This window comes from Homo sapiens, chromosome 1 (assembly GCF_000001405.40).
Source record: "Homo sapiens chromosome 1, GRCh38.p14 Primary Assembly".
In the NCBI taxonomy this organism is placed as follows: Eukaryota; Metazoa; Chordata; class Mammalia; order Primates; family Hominidae; genus Homo; species Homo sapiens.
The window spans coordinates 212,749,828-212,765,506 of NC_000001.11; the positions used below are offsets into that span (position 1 = coordinate 212,749,828).

The 15,679-nt window shown below is 40.3% G+C and overlaps 1 protein-coding gene across 5 annotated transcripts in view, besides 2 other annotated features; it reads right to left on the reverse strand.

Annotated features, from left to right (window-relative positions):
• Positions 1-15,679, reverse strand: part of NSL1 (NSL1 component of MIS12 kinetochore complex) — a 65,625-nt gene that overhangs the window by 23,675 nt on the left and 26,271 nt on the right. The gene's annotated exons all lie outside the window — the stretch shown is intronic.
• Positions 9,577-10,426: an enhancer, noted in NCBI's record as "H3K27ac-H3K4me1 hESC enhancer chr1:212932746-212933595 (GRCh37/hg19 assembly coordinates)". NCBI's record gives its function as "activates a minimal SCP1, AML or CMV promoter by ChIP-STARR-seq in naive H9 embryonic stem cells {active_cell/tissue: H9 hESC(naive)}" and the evidence as "EXISTENCE:reporter gene assay evidence [ECO:0000049][PMID:30033119]".
• Positions 10,427-11,275: an enhancer, noted in NCBI's record as "H3K27ac-H3K4me1 hESC enhancer chr1:212933596-212934444 (GRCh37/hg19 assembly coordinates)". NCBI's record gives its function as "activates a minimal SCP1, AML or CMV promoter by ChIP-STARR-seq in naive H9 embryonic stem cells {active_cell/tissue: H9 hESC(naive)}" and the evidence as "EXISTENCE:reporter gene assay evidence [ECO:0000049][PMID:30033119]".

A 15,679-nucleotide genomic window follows, 5' to 3' on the forward strand; every position in this document is an offset into this window, starting at 1 on the left:
TAAAATGGAATTAGGTCCTAGGCTGAATAATTATAAACATATTTTAACAAATGAATGTCTAGTGAGATATCCTAAAGTTGTGCTGGACATATGAGACATCTAGTATGCCTGGCCCCTGACTACAAAGTGCCAGCTACACTTTCCCATTAATATGGCAACCAAAAACTTTCTTTCACTTTTTCAAAGGGTCCACTAGAGGGCAGTACTAACCCCAGTGAGAACCCTGGCATTCTCATTTAGCTTCCAGAACTCCCTTGGGAACAGGAAACACATTCTTTTAATCTCAGAATCCCTAATGTTGAACAGAGTGCCTAACGTGTACAGTAGGTGTTCAGTAGTCATGATGGACCAAGGCTATGATAGAGGGTGCCATGGAGGCACAAAGGAGGGTGAGATCAATCTAACAAGGGAACCGAAGGGAGAGGGAAATCTTCACAGGTGATGTAAGAAAGTTGCCTTAATAGAGGATTTGGGGCTAGGTGAGCTGGGAGGAGGTGGGTGGTAGAGGATGTGATACATCAAAGACAAGAGAATAAATCAAGAAAGAGTAGAAAACAGGAACCAGGAAACACGATTTAAAACATGAGAGAAGGAAGGGAAATTCCCAGGACGATGATGAAAGGAACAGGCAGGATGAAAATTTTGCACCAGGCCTAGACAGCAGCCAGTCCAGACTGGAATAGGAGGACAGAAGGTTCCCAGAGAAGTATCTCCGAGGAAAAGATAAAGTTTAAAAATGGATCTGAGAGATAACCTTAAGTGTTTGCCATATTGAGATGAATTTTACAGTTCTGTTAGACACAACAGAAAACAAAGCAAACAGAAAAATAGGCCAGGTATGGTGAGCCACACCTGTAATCCCAGCACTTTGGGAGGCAGAGGCAGGTAAATCACCTGAGGTCAGGAGTTCGAGACTAGCCTGGCTAACATGGTGAAACCCTGTCTCTACTAAAAATACAAAAAATTAGCCGGGCATGGTGGCGGGCGCCTGTAATCCCAGCTACTAGGGAGGCTGAGGTGGGAGGATGGCTTGAACCTGAGAGGCAGAGGTTGCAGTGAGCCGAGATAGCGCCACTGCACTCCAGCCAGAGTCACAGAGCAAGACTGCCTCAAACGAAAAAAAATAATAATAAAGCAATTATTGTTCCAAAAGGGGTAGAAAGCTATTCAAGAAAGAATATACTCGTAGTAATAATTATCTGACTCAGGAACAAAATAATAATTACCTGACTCAGATTGAAGAACACTTACATAGTCATAAAAATACAAATATGAAATACTATTGATTTTTTTTACAAGAATGAAAGATTAAAAGTGAAGCTACTGAGTATAGATTATTCATTTGAGAAACTTAGTTATAAAAGGAAGAAGGGTACAAGGAAGAAAAACACAATGGCATGAAAACTTTCCCTACCTGTTCCATGGACAGCCCATTCCTATAGTAGTATGGGCTGACATACATTCTCAATCAATCTTATGCAATTTTAGCAACCCTGGGAGGCAAGTGGGTTTCATCAGCCTCCTTTTGTAGGTAAAGAAACAGAAGCTGAGAAATGTATCTAGACTTGAATAAGAACTCACATCTCCCTCCTAGAATCCAAAGCACACACTCTTCTACATTCTATAACTTTCCAAAATACTGCTTTGTCAGGAATTATACTGTCCTCATAAGAATATAAGTTAACTAATGGTAAAAAGTTAGCTTCAACATAATGAAAATCTCTTGAAATAATTGTGCCTGGTAAAGAACTAAAACATTAAAACTCTAGAACAATTATAGAATTAAATGTTTAAACTATTAACTTTATGGTACCTTTTTTTCTTTTTAAATGAATTAAGTCCTTTACATTTAAAACTAAGTAGCACCAATAATTAATAAAACCATTTTTTTTAAAGACAAAAGAAGGAAAACACAACTAAAAATGGTCACTAAATATATGAATATATTATCTGTAAATGCATGAAAAAGGCATTTTTCCAACAATATCTGCTTAGGAAATTTCAAAATATATATACTTTTCACTCCCTCACTCAAGATTATTCTAAATGAATTTTTTCACATTTTGCAACTAGTAAGATCATACAATACTCCTGATATACAAGTATGTGACTTAAGACTGTCTCACATGCAGATGGCTGGTCCATGCCACACAGGAGATGGGATGGGCTTTCTCGAGGACCATTCTCAATGTCTTCTCTCTAGAACCTCGTGACACCACTACTTACCCTTCTCACCACCAACAATGGTGTTAAAGGAGCCAAACTATTCCATATAAAATCCTACTTAAATGTCATATAGTGGAACTAATATGCATCTGAAATATGATTTTCCTAATTTTTTCATCATAAATGTATAGTATTTCAGCTACATTATAGATTAAGGTTTAATAAGCCTGTAAAGGGTTGCCTAGAAACATATTTATTTATTTATTTATACATTTTTTTCCCAGTGGGAAGTGTATTTCAAATTCCAAAACTCAGACTTACATGAATTTTTAAAGTGTAACTATTTGTGAGTGGCTACCTGTAAATATTGTGACAGTGGCTTAAGCAAGACAGCATTATTAGGAAAGAAGCGGAACTGCCTCTGAGTCCTCTGCCTGTAGGGTCAGCAAAAGAACTGGAAGTATCATTAAGTTTACCATACAGAAACTTAAAATAGCTCCTTGCCATCGCTACATGTTTAGCGAAGGACAGGGAAAAAAGGGATCTTCAGTTAATTTCAAAGAACTTTTAAAAAAAGGCAATATGGAAGCAATTATTCATTACAACAGGATTATAAAAGGTTGTAAATGTCAAATGAGACCACATCTTATTGGTGGACAGCTCATCAGTAGATTGCTATAAGGATATTTTTAAAAAGAGTTTGCTCTTAAAAATGTGGAAGTTAGGCATCCTTGAGAACACTGCCTTCCCTAGTCACTTGCTTTCTAAAACACAGGGAAATGAAAAAGTGGAAATGAAAGATTGAGTAATCAACCTAGTTTTGCTTTCAGGTCACTGTACTGACTAAACTAGGAAACATGAACTTCCAAAAGCCTGCCCAAATTCAGAAATTCAGCAAAAAAAAAAAAAAGCACTAAGTGAGTACTTCCTTTCTATTTCCAATGTATTTTATGAATATAAACAAGCAATCACGCACAGCATCAGATGTGTGGCTTCTACTGGTTTCTAAAGAGGTAATTAAGCCATTAGAACCAAGAATTAGAAAGCAGCATCCCTGGTGAAAATGAAACCAAAAACACAGCAGTGATTTGTGATTTTCTGAAAGATAACCCTTTGCTACAATTTATAGAGATGTGTTGAACCCATTTGCTCAGTAGATGAAATCCTCTGCAGCACACCTTCCCACCTACACCTCACCACCTCCTTCAGTACCATGTTGCACCTCTCTTAAGGCACACTTTCAAACTCCTGACCCTCGCTCGTTATTATCTGGCCTCAGCCAAGTTTTTGACATTGTCTTGCAATGCTTCTTCCCTCTATTACTCACTTCACTACAGCCTCTCTGGTCTTTTGTTCCATGAATACTCAAGCTCATTCTTGATTTAAGAACTTTATTCTAGCTCTTCCCTCTGCTTGACAGCTCTTTTTCTTGATCATCACCAGATAAATTCCTTCCTGTTACTACCTCAGAAAAGTGTTTCCCCATCACCTAAACACACCACCCTAAAGCACTGATGTCACTTATTTATTTTTATATTTATTACTTTTCTTCTCCCACTAAAATATAAACTCTATAGAGTAAGAACTTTGTGCTGCTCACTAATATTACATCTGCCACATTGAGAACAGTTCTGTCATACTGTAGCCATTCAATATATACAACTGAATGGACCAATGAGTAACAGTCACTCATGATGTATTTATTGGGCATGCTGCTATATGCTGGCTATATATAATGTAAATATAATATTAAAAAACTCATGGAGCTTTCAGTTTTGTGAGAGAGCATAAACAAGAAAATAAACACAAATACTTATAAGCTGTAACAAGTACTATTAAGGAAATAAACAGGTGTCATGATAAACAACTGGGGAGAGTATTTTAATGAGGGTGGTTAGGTAAGATCTCTCTGAGGAGGTAACATTTAAATGAGAAAAGAGAACTGGGAAGATGTCAAACTTGGGCAAGGGGGCATGCATGTGTGACAGTGAGGCACTTTCAAAGAACTGAAAGACTGGCAGCAAACAGGAAAGTGCCTGAAATAAATCTGGAGAGGTAGGTAGGGGCCAGATCACCTAAGGGAATGCTAAAAGTCTAGAGTTTAGGATTTTAAGCAGAGGACTGAAAACTGATTTGCATTTTTAAAAGTATCCTAAGACTTCCTAGTCAAGTTGATTTCAGTAGTGCATAAAACTCCCTTCCTATGTCCAAAAGCATCAGTGAATATAGAAAATTAAAATGACATATCCTAAAGCATATACAAAATAAAACATTTCAATGAACCAGAAAAAAAGGAGAAGAGAAAAAGCTGCAAGTCAGGCTAAAGCTGCAGGCCTACCGGTAAGCAGAAGTAGCCAGGAATTGGCCTCCTGCAAGATAAAAGGTGTTCGAAGTGCTCCAGAAGAACAGGAAACGAAGAGACAGCTTCACTGTTTGAAACCGAGGGCTGAGACAGAGTTTACCCACCCTGAAAAGGTGGCTGAAAAAAACTGCCACTAACCAGCCCGGCGCGGTGGCTCACACCTGTAATCCCAGCACTTAAGGAGGCTGAGATGGGTGGATCACGTGAGGTCAGGAGTTGGAGACTAGCCTGGCCAACATGGTGAAACCCCGCCTCTACTAAAAATACAAAAATTATCCGGGCGTGGTGGTGGGCACCTGTAATCCCAGCTACTCAGGAGGATGAGGCAGGAGAATCACTTGAACCCAGGAGGCAGAGGTTGCAGTGAGCAACCATTACATTCCAGCCTGGGCAACAAGAGTAAAATTCTGTCTCAAAAAAAAAAAAAAAACCAACTCAAAAGACAAAACTGCTCCTAACCGCTGCCAGGAAGCAAAGCTTACTTAAAGCTAAACCAGAAATGATGGGAAGCAGATAATGCCTCCAAGCCTGGGCCTGGACCAATCTCCAGTGTCACACTGGGACAGAGGCCCTCTGTTGCCAGTGTTAAGATATGGCTCCAGCCTGGGATTGTTTGGGGCCAGATGGAAGGCAACCAAACCTACTAGACAGAGGGAGTGAAAGCAGTGGTAGACAGATATGCACATGAAAAATTCTAGTCAAGAAGCACTTGCAAATCAAAAGTCTAAAATACATGAAGAAATTAAAACCATGAAAGACAGCCAGTATAACCAATGTCAGGGAGAGGAATTTACTGCAGATGAAATGAAAATAGAGCAATATAAAAATGACTTTAAAATGCTACACAGCTCCAATAGCTAAAGAAAATCATAAGACATTGCAAAAGAAAAATAGGTTATAAAATAAAAACATAAAATACAAAAATAGAAGAAATGAGAAAGAAGCAAAGTTGAAGGATTAGGTTAAAGATTTTCTAGAATATAGGAGTCCTCAGATAAAAGTATATATGGAGATGTTAATGGAAGATGGGAGAAAAGAGGAATCTAGCAAAACCAAATAATCTCTCACAAAAAACAAAAATACATATATAATATTATTTAAATAAAATTGTCTCTGTGTATATAAGCAAGAAAAAAATTACCAATAAAAACCATGGAGTTGAACTATGTTACATGTTGAGTGAAAAAAGAAAAACAATGACAGAATAAAATGCATTATGTAATATTTATATAAACAACTAAAAAAACCCCTGTGTCTACCTATGTGCATACAAATGCATTGATAAAGATCTAAAATTAGACACAGCAAACTGATAATAGTTGCCTATTTGAAGATGTGTGGGATGTGACAGATTGGGAGGCGAAGTTATGGTATATTTCATATAAATATGAATATGTATATATTTTCATATATATCTATATGTAATTATTAAAAATTTTACATTAAGCTTGCATTTATTAAAAGCACAAGAAATACAATTTAAAAGATAACCACAATTTAAAACAATAAGGTTAGAGCTACGGCAGTCGAATGGAGGATGTCTACCATAAACTTAAGCTAGGAAATTGCAGATAATTTGAACACATGAATAAATTTTCTGTAAATTATGCCCCCAAAATGTCCAGTGCATATTTATTCCTGTAACAATTATATAAGCACAGAAAAAAGGATAAATGAATTCATACCAGGTTAATGTTGGATATCTAAAGGGGTGACAGGAAGAGAGAGAAGAAACCAAAAACAAAAAGTAAAAATACAATGCTATCCTTGTTGGGTTTTTTTGAGACAGGTTCTCACTCTGTCACTCAGGCTGGAGTGTAGTGGCAGGACCATAGCTCACTGCAGCCTTGACCTCCTGGGTTCAAATGATCCTCCCTCTGCAGCTTCCCGAGTAGCTGGAACTACAGGCATGCACCACCATGCTTGGCTAATTTTTGTATTTTTTGTAGAGACGGGGTTTTGCCATGTTGCCCTAGCTGGTCTCAAACTCCTGTGCTCAAGCGATCAGCTTCCCAAAGTGCTGGGCTTACAGGTGTGAGCCACTGCATCCGGCCGACTTTGGTTTTTAAAAGGGACAATGTAATATGTAATTCAATCCTATTTATATAAAATTATGTATTGTTTGCAAAAATATAAATATTTATTGAGTGTACCATGTCAGAAAATAATCTTAAGAGTCAGGGGCTGGGCGCAGTGGCTCATGCCTGTAATCCCAGAACTTTGGGAGGCCGAGGTGGGAGGATCACCCGAGTTCAAGACTTTGAAACCAGCCTGGCCAATATGGTGAAACCTTGTCTCTATTAAATATGCAAAAGTTAGCCAGGTGTGATGGCGGGTGCCTGTAATCCCAGCTAGTCTAGAGGCTGAGGCAGGAGAATCACTTGAACCTGGGAGGTGGAGGTTGCAGTGAGCTGAGAGCGTGCCACTGCATTCCAGCCTGGGCGACAGAGCAAGGCTCCGTCTCAAAAAAAAGAAAAGAAAAGAAAAAAGAGGGAAAACTGGGCATCCCAAAGTTCTTGCTCACAGGGAGCTTACAATACTGTGGGGAGGGAAGAGGAAAATAAGGAGAAATTATATAATATCTGTAAGTGGCAGAGAAAAATAAAGCAGGTTAAAGGGATACAGTATGATCAAGGGAGTCATAAGAGAATCTGACACAGGTTGTAAGGTGTATCAGATGAAGTGACACTTTGAACAGAGAGCTGAATGAAGTGCAAGAGTCAGGCAGGTAGTTTCGGAGAGCAGTTTCAAATACAGGGAGTTGCGAGTATGAAAGTCGTAGGGCCAGTGTGTTCTTGGTATGTCCTGAAATAGCAAGAATATTAGTGTTAGTGGAGCACAGTAAGCGAGGGTGAGATGGTAAGTGAACACTGTCAGAGATGAGATCAGAGAAGCAGCCGGGGACCATATCATTGAGGGCCTCTTAGACCAAAGGAATTATAATGGGGAGCCACTGGAGGGCCTTCAACAGGGAGTGACATAATCTGATTATGCTTTAAAAGAAATTGTTTGGATGCTGTGTGAAAAGTAGAACTGGATGGAAGGAGACCAGGGTGTTAGTCTGTTTTATTACTATAAAGGAATATGTAAGACTGGGTAATTTATAAAGAAAAGAGGTTTAATTGGCTCACAGTTCGGCAGGCTGTACAAGCATAGCACCAACATTTGCTCAGCTTCTGGTAGGGCCTCAGTGAGCTTTCAATCATGATGGAAGCCAAAGGAGGAACGGTACATCCATGGCAAGAGATGGAGCAAGGATGTGGATGTGGGGAGGTGCCACAGTCTTTAAAACAACCAGCTCTCAGGTGAATTCAGAGGGAGAGCTCACTCATTACCACAAGGAGGGCACCAAGCCACGGATGAGGGATCTGCCCCCAAGACCCAGACACCTTGCACTAGGTCCATCTACAACATTGAAGGTCCCATTTCAACCATGAGATTTAGAAGGAACAAAACATCCAAACCATATTAATCAGTGAGAAAGCTATTATAGTGGTCCTAAGCGAATATGGTGACATGGATAAGAGCAGGAGAGACAGATTTGGTTGGTAAGCAGCAGGATTTGAAATATGTTTCCAAGGTAAAGGCAGCAGGATCTACTGATGGACTGAGGATGTACAGGCATCATGCAATATATCATAATACTGGTTACTGGTCATAAACATGCTAATAGTGTTTATCTCTGGGCATATGATTTCATGTGATTTAAACTTGTTTCTTATGCTTCTAACATTTTTGGAATGTGCATGTATTGTTCATACAAGCAAGAAAAAGCAATAATATTATTTTCAGTGTGAAATAAATCAGAAAATGTACATATCAAACACCATACTAGAAAATAAACATCTAGCTATACTGTGGTAAACTTCAGAGCATTAAGAATATAGAGAAAATCCGAAAAGTCAGAAGAGAAAGAACAATATCTATAAAGGAATGGTAATCAGATTCTCAAGACACTGCTCATCAACAATGAATGTCAGGCATCCAGATTAGAAAGAAAAGAAGTAAAATATCTGTTTGCAGATGACATGATCTTTTATATATAAAATCCTTTAAAACATCCATTAAACAACTATTAGAACTAATAAATGAGTTTAACATGGTTGTAAGATACAAGATTAATATACAAAAATTAATTCTATCTCTACACAGTAGCAAAGAAGAAACCAAAAATAAAATTTAAAAATAATTCAATTTACAAGGGCATCAAAAGAATAAAGTATTTAGGAATAAGTTTCACAAAAGAAGTGCTAAAAGCTGGAAAACACTGTTGAAATAAATCAATTTCCAGATGGAAAGCCATCCATTATTCAGGGATCAGAAAACTTAACATTAAGATAGCATTACTCTCAAAGTGATCTACAATTTCAACACAATTCCTACCAAAATCCCAGCTGACTTCTTGACAGAAATTGACTGACTGATCCCAAAATTCATATGGAATTTGAATGTAAGGGATCAGAAGAGCCAAAACAACCTTGAAAAAGAAGAACAAGGTTGGAAGACTCATACTTTCTGATTTCAAAATTTCTTACAAAGCTATAATAATCAAGACAGTGTAGTAGTGGCCTAAGGACAGACAAAGATCAATGAAACAGAATTGAGAGTTCAGAAAGAAATCTACATATTACAGTCAACTGATTTCTGACACAGATTCCAACACCATTCAAGCATTTTCAACAAATGGTGCTTAAAACAACTGGATATATACATACAAAAGAATGAAGGTGGAAAACTCTTAGGAGAAAGGCAAGCATAAATCTTTATACTTTTATATTAGACAACAGTTTCTAAAATATAAAACTAAAACCAAAGCAACCAAAGGAAAAAAAAATAGGTAAATTAGATTTTGCCAAATTTAAAATTTCTGTGCTTCAAAGAACATCATCAAGAAAGTGAGATGGGGAGGGGGCTTCAAGATGGCTGACTAGGGGCACCTGGCACCTGCCTCCTCCACAAAGAAGGACTAAACAGTGGGTAGATAATCACATGTCAAAGACAGCATCCAAGAAAAAACAGTGGAATTCAGCAGAACAGTGACAGGGAACAACTGAGGCATGGGAAGAAAGGGAAGCAGGGAAAATGTAAATGAGAGATCCCACATTTCTACTGCAGAATCCTGCAGTACTAACCACAGGAGAGCCCCTTGGCCCCTGCAGGCCCTAAGACTAGTATAGGGAGCTGTCTGGAGTCCATACAACATTAATTCCAGAGAGATAGCACTGGGTACCTCACATACCCCCAAGGCCCAAGACACCGCAGCATAGCACCATTTTGAGAATTCAACCCCCACCAGACTGTATCCTTCCCTAGGGCCCAAAAGCCCCTACATCTCCACATCCCTGGAGCCTTGCTGACATCCCCACTGCATCCACCTGGAGAGCTGCAGTGGCACAACACTGACTGAACCCAATAGTAAAACCAGGTCCCCGGCACTCTAGCCTACACAGTGTCCTACACCCCAAGGAACCAGCAGTGCAGTGCACCAGGGAGGCTGCCCGTGGGACAGAGGGAGCTGAAGCGCACACTCCTCAGAGCCTGAGAGCCATTTCCCTGGGGCCACCCAGCAGCAAGGCTACTGCGCACTGGCATGTGCCTTTAGTGTGCCTAGGGACAGGCCCACCCAGATGCTGTCCTGGGATCCTGATAATCACCCTGCCCTATCTGTCATGGTGGGTGTGTGAGCACATCAAGACAACAGACCACCAAGACAACAGACCATCGCCAGTGCCCAATCATACTGTCCAGGGCCTGGGGATTGACCTGCCCCGCCAGCTGCTTCTGGGGCACACACACACACACACCATAAGGGAGCTTAACAGCAGGTCCAGCCTGTGGGCCACTGGTACCTGAGCACACTAACCAAGGGCAAAGGGATAGCCCTGCCCTGCCCACCACAACTTTAGGCACACCATCAGGAGGCTAAGATCAGGCCCACCCTGCTCTGCACCACTCTACCACACCAGTGTCTGAGAGCGCCATCTAGGGGCCCAGGAATAGCCTCATTCTGTCTGTTGCTGTGGGCAGGTGCACACACTCAGCCATCAAGGGGCCTGATAACAGGCCCAGCCAACATACTGCGGGTGCCTGAGCATACCGTTTGAGGTCCTGAGGTTCACCCCACTGGCCACTACTGCCGGCATCCACACACTCCTCCCCAGGGCTTGAGGACGGGCCTGACTAGCCTATCATCACCACCACCATCACCGCCAGGACCCCCCTAAATGTGCTCTGGGGGGACTGGCCAGCCCAGTCCATTGCCACCACCACTGCCGCCTGTGCTTGCTGCCTGGGGGCCTGACGGTTGACCCGCCACTGCTACTGCCATCACCAACACCACGCATACTGCCCAGGGACTCATGAAACCACCTGCCTGCCCATCCCATTGCTGTCACTGCTGGTACCTGAGCAAGCCACCTGGAGGCCCAAGAATTGGTCTGCCTGGACCTGATAACACTAGTATCTGTGTACACTGCCAAGGGAACCAAAAATGGATGTATTTGGCATGCCATCACCACCAGTGGGGCCCAAGAACAGGCCTGCCTGGAGTCCCCATCCCAAGTAAAGACCTATCATACCCTCTAGTACCAACCATAGCGTAAGTCACTAAGGAACTCACAAACATCACTGACACTGATTACACCCAAAGAAATCATGCAGAGACTATACTATTGCACACACCCGGAATCAAAGCTAAAGCACCCTACCCAATCAATATTATAGATACAACTACAGGCAAAAGTCTTTTCCTATGAAAGCCAATCTAAAAATCTGAAAGAAGTAACTGTTTCACCAAATGTGCAGGTATCAACTTAAAGACATAAGAAACATGAAAAAGCAAGGAAACATGACACTTCCAAAACAACTATGATAATTCTCCAGCAAAAGATTCCAGTGAAAAAGAAATCTATAGGACAGGCATTGTGGCTCACCCCTGTAATCCTAGCATTTTGGGAGGCTAAGGTGTGTGCATCACCTGAACCTTGGAGTTCGAGACCAGCCTGGGCAACGTGGCGAAACCTCCTCTCCACAAAAATTACAAAAAATTATTAGGGAGGAGGATCGCCTGAACCCAGGAGTTTGGGGCCAGCCTTAGCAACACGGCAAAACCTTGCCTTTACAAAAAACACAAAAATAGCTGGGTTTGGTGGCAGATGCCTGTCGTCCCAGCTACTTGGGAGGCGGAGGTGGAAGAATTGCTTGAGCTCAGGAAGGCTGCAGTGAGCTGTGACTGTGCCACTGCACTCCAGCCTGGGACCCTGTCTGAAAAAATAAAATATAAAAAATAAAAGAAAACATGAAATACCTGAAAAATAATTCAAACTACTGATATTAAAGAAGCTCAGTGAGATCCAAGAGAACACAGACAAACACAAGGACATAAGAAAAACAATTCATGATCTGAATGAGAAATTTAACAAAGAGATATCATTTTAAAAAATCAAACAGAAATCCTGCATCTGAAGAGTTCTATGAATGAAATAAAAAATACAATTGAGAGCTTCAGAAACAGACTAGATCGGGGTGTCCAATCTTTTGGCTTCCCTAAGCCACACTGGAAGAATTGTCTTGGGCCACACATAAAATACAGTAACACTAATGACAGCTGATGAGCTAAAAAAAAAAAAAAAAAAAAAAATCATGTTTTAAGAAAGTTTACAGCTGGGCGCGGTGGCTCATGCCTGTAATCCCAGCACTTTGGGAGACTGAGGTGGGTGGATCACCTGAGGTCAGGAGTTTGAGACTAGCCTGGACAACATGGTGAAACCATGTCTCTACTAAAAGTACAAAAATTAACTAGGCATGGTTGCGCATGCCTATAATCTCAGCTACTTGGGAGGCTGAGGCAGGAGAATCACTTGAACCCGGGAGGCAGAGGTTGCGGTGCGCCAAGATCGCTCCACTGCACTCCAGTCTGGGCAACAGAGTCTCACTCTGTCTTAAAAGAAACAAAAAAAAAAAAAAAAAAAAGAAAAGAAGTTTACGAATTTGTGTTAGACCACATTCAAACTGTCCTAGGCTGCATAAGGCCCATGGATCACAGGTTAGACAAGCTTGAATTAGATCTTTTATTTATTTACTTTCCAAGATGACAGATAAGAGTCAGTGTTAGCATGCCTCTCCCACTTGGAAGGAAAGAATAGTGGCTAGAGAGTCACACTGTGAATTTTCTTTTTTCCAAGAACCACCACAGGAAGATGGAAGGAATCCACAAACCCTCTGAAAGAAGCAGCAGGCTGGAGCCTACTGCATGAGACAGGTGAAAAACTAAGTTCCCAGAGTGTAAGCAGGGGAATGAGCCTGTCTCGGAGCACACATCCCCACCTGCAAGTCTGAAAATCCAGACCATGGGAGAAAGCCTTAACCCTACCGAGAGCTGGAATGGATTTAGTCTATGTGAAATACAAAAGTAGACGCAGCAGCATGAAGTGCCTTGTAGGCATTCCCAGTCTCCAGCATGAACAGAGGCAAGCCATTCCTGACTGCATCTCATAGGGGCCCTCGAAGAAGCAGTCAATGAGTTCAGGGAGGGGTCATAGGGTGAAAGAAGCTCCCAGATGAATTTTGCGATATAATCTTGAGTAGGGATGAGCTCTCCTGAACAGAACCCACAGGGTGAGTGTAAAGTGTGCTACAGACATGAGCAGAGGAGCTGGGCGTCCGGCCTTATGGGCATATGGAGAAAGGCATGGTTATGGCCTTGGGCAGGTCTGAGTTCCGTGCGCAGACTGCCTGGAACTAAATCCAGTAAGCGAAGCACTGTGGGAGTGAGACCAGCGTCGCCAACTGTGAAAGAGCTGGGTGAGGCTCATTGTTGCCCACTACTCTCCACTCCCTTTGGGAACTCTTCTATGCAGCAGATGCAGTTAACTACCCTCTGGAACATTATCCCAGGAGCCTGAGGTCTCAAAGAAGTTCTGAAAGAAGTTCTGAATCTTGAAACAAAAGCTCTGAAATGCACCTATATAGAACCTCCTGAAAGCATAAATCTCACAGGGCCTAAAAAACAACAACAGAATGAAAAAAAAACAAAGTATCTAAGTAACAACTAACATGATGAATAGAACAGTACCTAACATTTCAATATTAACGTTGAATGTAAATGGCCTAAATGTTCCACTTAAAAGATACAGAATGACAGAATGGATAAAAAACCACCAAGTATCTGCTGTCATCAAGAGACTCACCTAACATATAAGGACTCATAAAAATTTAAGGTAAAGGGGTGGAAAAAGACATTCCATATAAATGGAAACCAAAAGCGAGCAGTAGTTATTCTTATATCAGACAAAACAGACTTTAAAGCAACAACAGTAAAAAAGACAAAGAAGGATGTTATACAATGATAAAAGGATTAGCCCAACATAAGGATACTATAATCCTAAATTTATATGCAACTAACACTGGAGCTCCCAGATTTATAAAACAATTACTATTAGATCTAAGAAATGAGACTGGCAACAACACAATAATAGTGTGGGACTTCAATACTCCACTGACAGCACTAGAAAGATCAAGACAAAAAGTCAACAAAGAAACAACAAACTTAAACTATATCCTAGAACAAATGAACTTAACAGGTGTTTACACAACATTCTTCCCAACAACTGCAGAATATACATTCTCCTCATCAGCACATGGAACAGTCTCCAAGATAGGTGATATGATGGGCCACAAAATAAGTCTCAATAAATTTAAGAAAATCAAAATCCTATCAAGTATCTTCTCAGACCACAGTGGAATAAAGCTGGAAATCAACTATAAAAGGAACTCTCAAAATTATACAAATACATGGAAATTAAATAATCTGCTCTTGTATAATTTTTGGGTTAACAATGAAATCAATATGTAAATTTAAAAATTCTTTGAAATGAATAATAGTGACACAACTTATCAAAACCTCTGGGATACAGCAAAAGCAGTGCTAAGAGGAAAGTTCACAGTGTTAAATGTCTACATCAAAAACCCTGAAATAGCACAGACAATTTAATGTCACATCACAAAGAAATAGAGAAACAAGAACAAACTAAACCCAAACCCAGGAGAAGAAGTAACAAAGATCAGAGCAGAATTAAATGAAATTGAAACAAACAAAAAAACAAAAAATACAAAAGATAAATGAAACAAAAAGCTGGTTCTTTGAAAAGATAAACAAAATTGATAGACCATTAGTGAGATTAACCAAGAAGACAGAAGATCCAAATAAGCTCAATTCACGGTGGCTCATGCCCACAATCCCAGCATTTTGGGAGGCCAAGGCAGGCATATCACTTGAGGTCAGGAGTTTGTGACCAGCCTGGACAACATGGTGAAACCCTCTCTCTACTAAAAATACAAAAATCAGCCAGGCATGGTGGCAGGCGCCTGTAATCCCAGCCACTTGGGAGGCTGAGGAAGGAGAATTGCTTGAACTTGGGAGGCAGAGGTTGCAGTGAGCCAAGATCACACCACTGCACTCCAGCCTGGGTGACACAGCAAGACTGTCTCAAAAAAAAAAAAAAAAAAAAAAAAAAAAGAAAGAAAGAAAAAAAAAAGAAACTGGAGATATTGTAACTGATACCACAGAAATACAAAAGGTCATTCAAGGCTACTATGAACACCTTTATGTGCACAAACTACAAAATCTAGAGGAGGTAGATAAGTTCCTGGAAATATATAACCCTTCTAGATTAAATCAGGAAGAAATAGAAACCCTGAACAGACCAATAACAAGCAGTGAGACTGAATCAGCAATTTTTTAAATTGCCAACAAAAAAAAGTCCAGGACCAGGTGGATTCACAGCTGAATTCTATCAGACATTCAAAGAAGAATTATTACCAATCCTACTAAAATTATTCCAAAAGACAGAAAAAGAGGAAATCCTCCCTAAATCATTCCATGAGGCCAGTATTACCCTAATACCAAAACTAGGAAAGGACATAACAAAAAAAGAAAACTACAGACCAATATCCTGATGAACATAGATGCAAAAATCCTCAATAAAATACTAGCTAACCAAATCCAACAGCATGTCAAAAAGATAATACATCATGATCAAGTGGGTTTCAAACTAGGGATGCAGGGATGGTTTAACATATGCAAGTCAATAAACATGCTACATAACAGAAACAGAATTAAAAACAAAAACCATATGATCATCTCAACAGAGA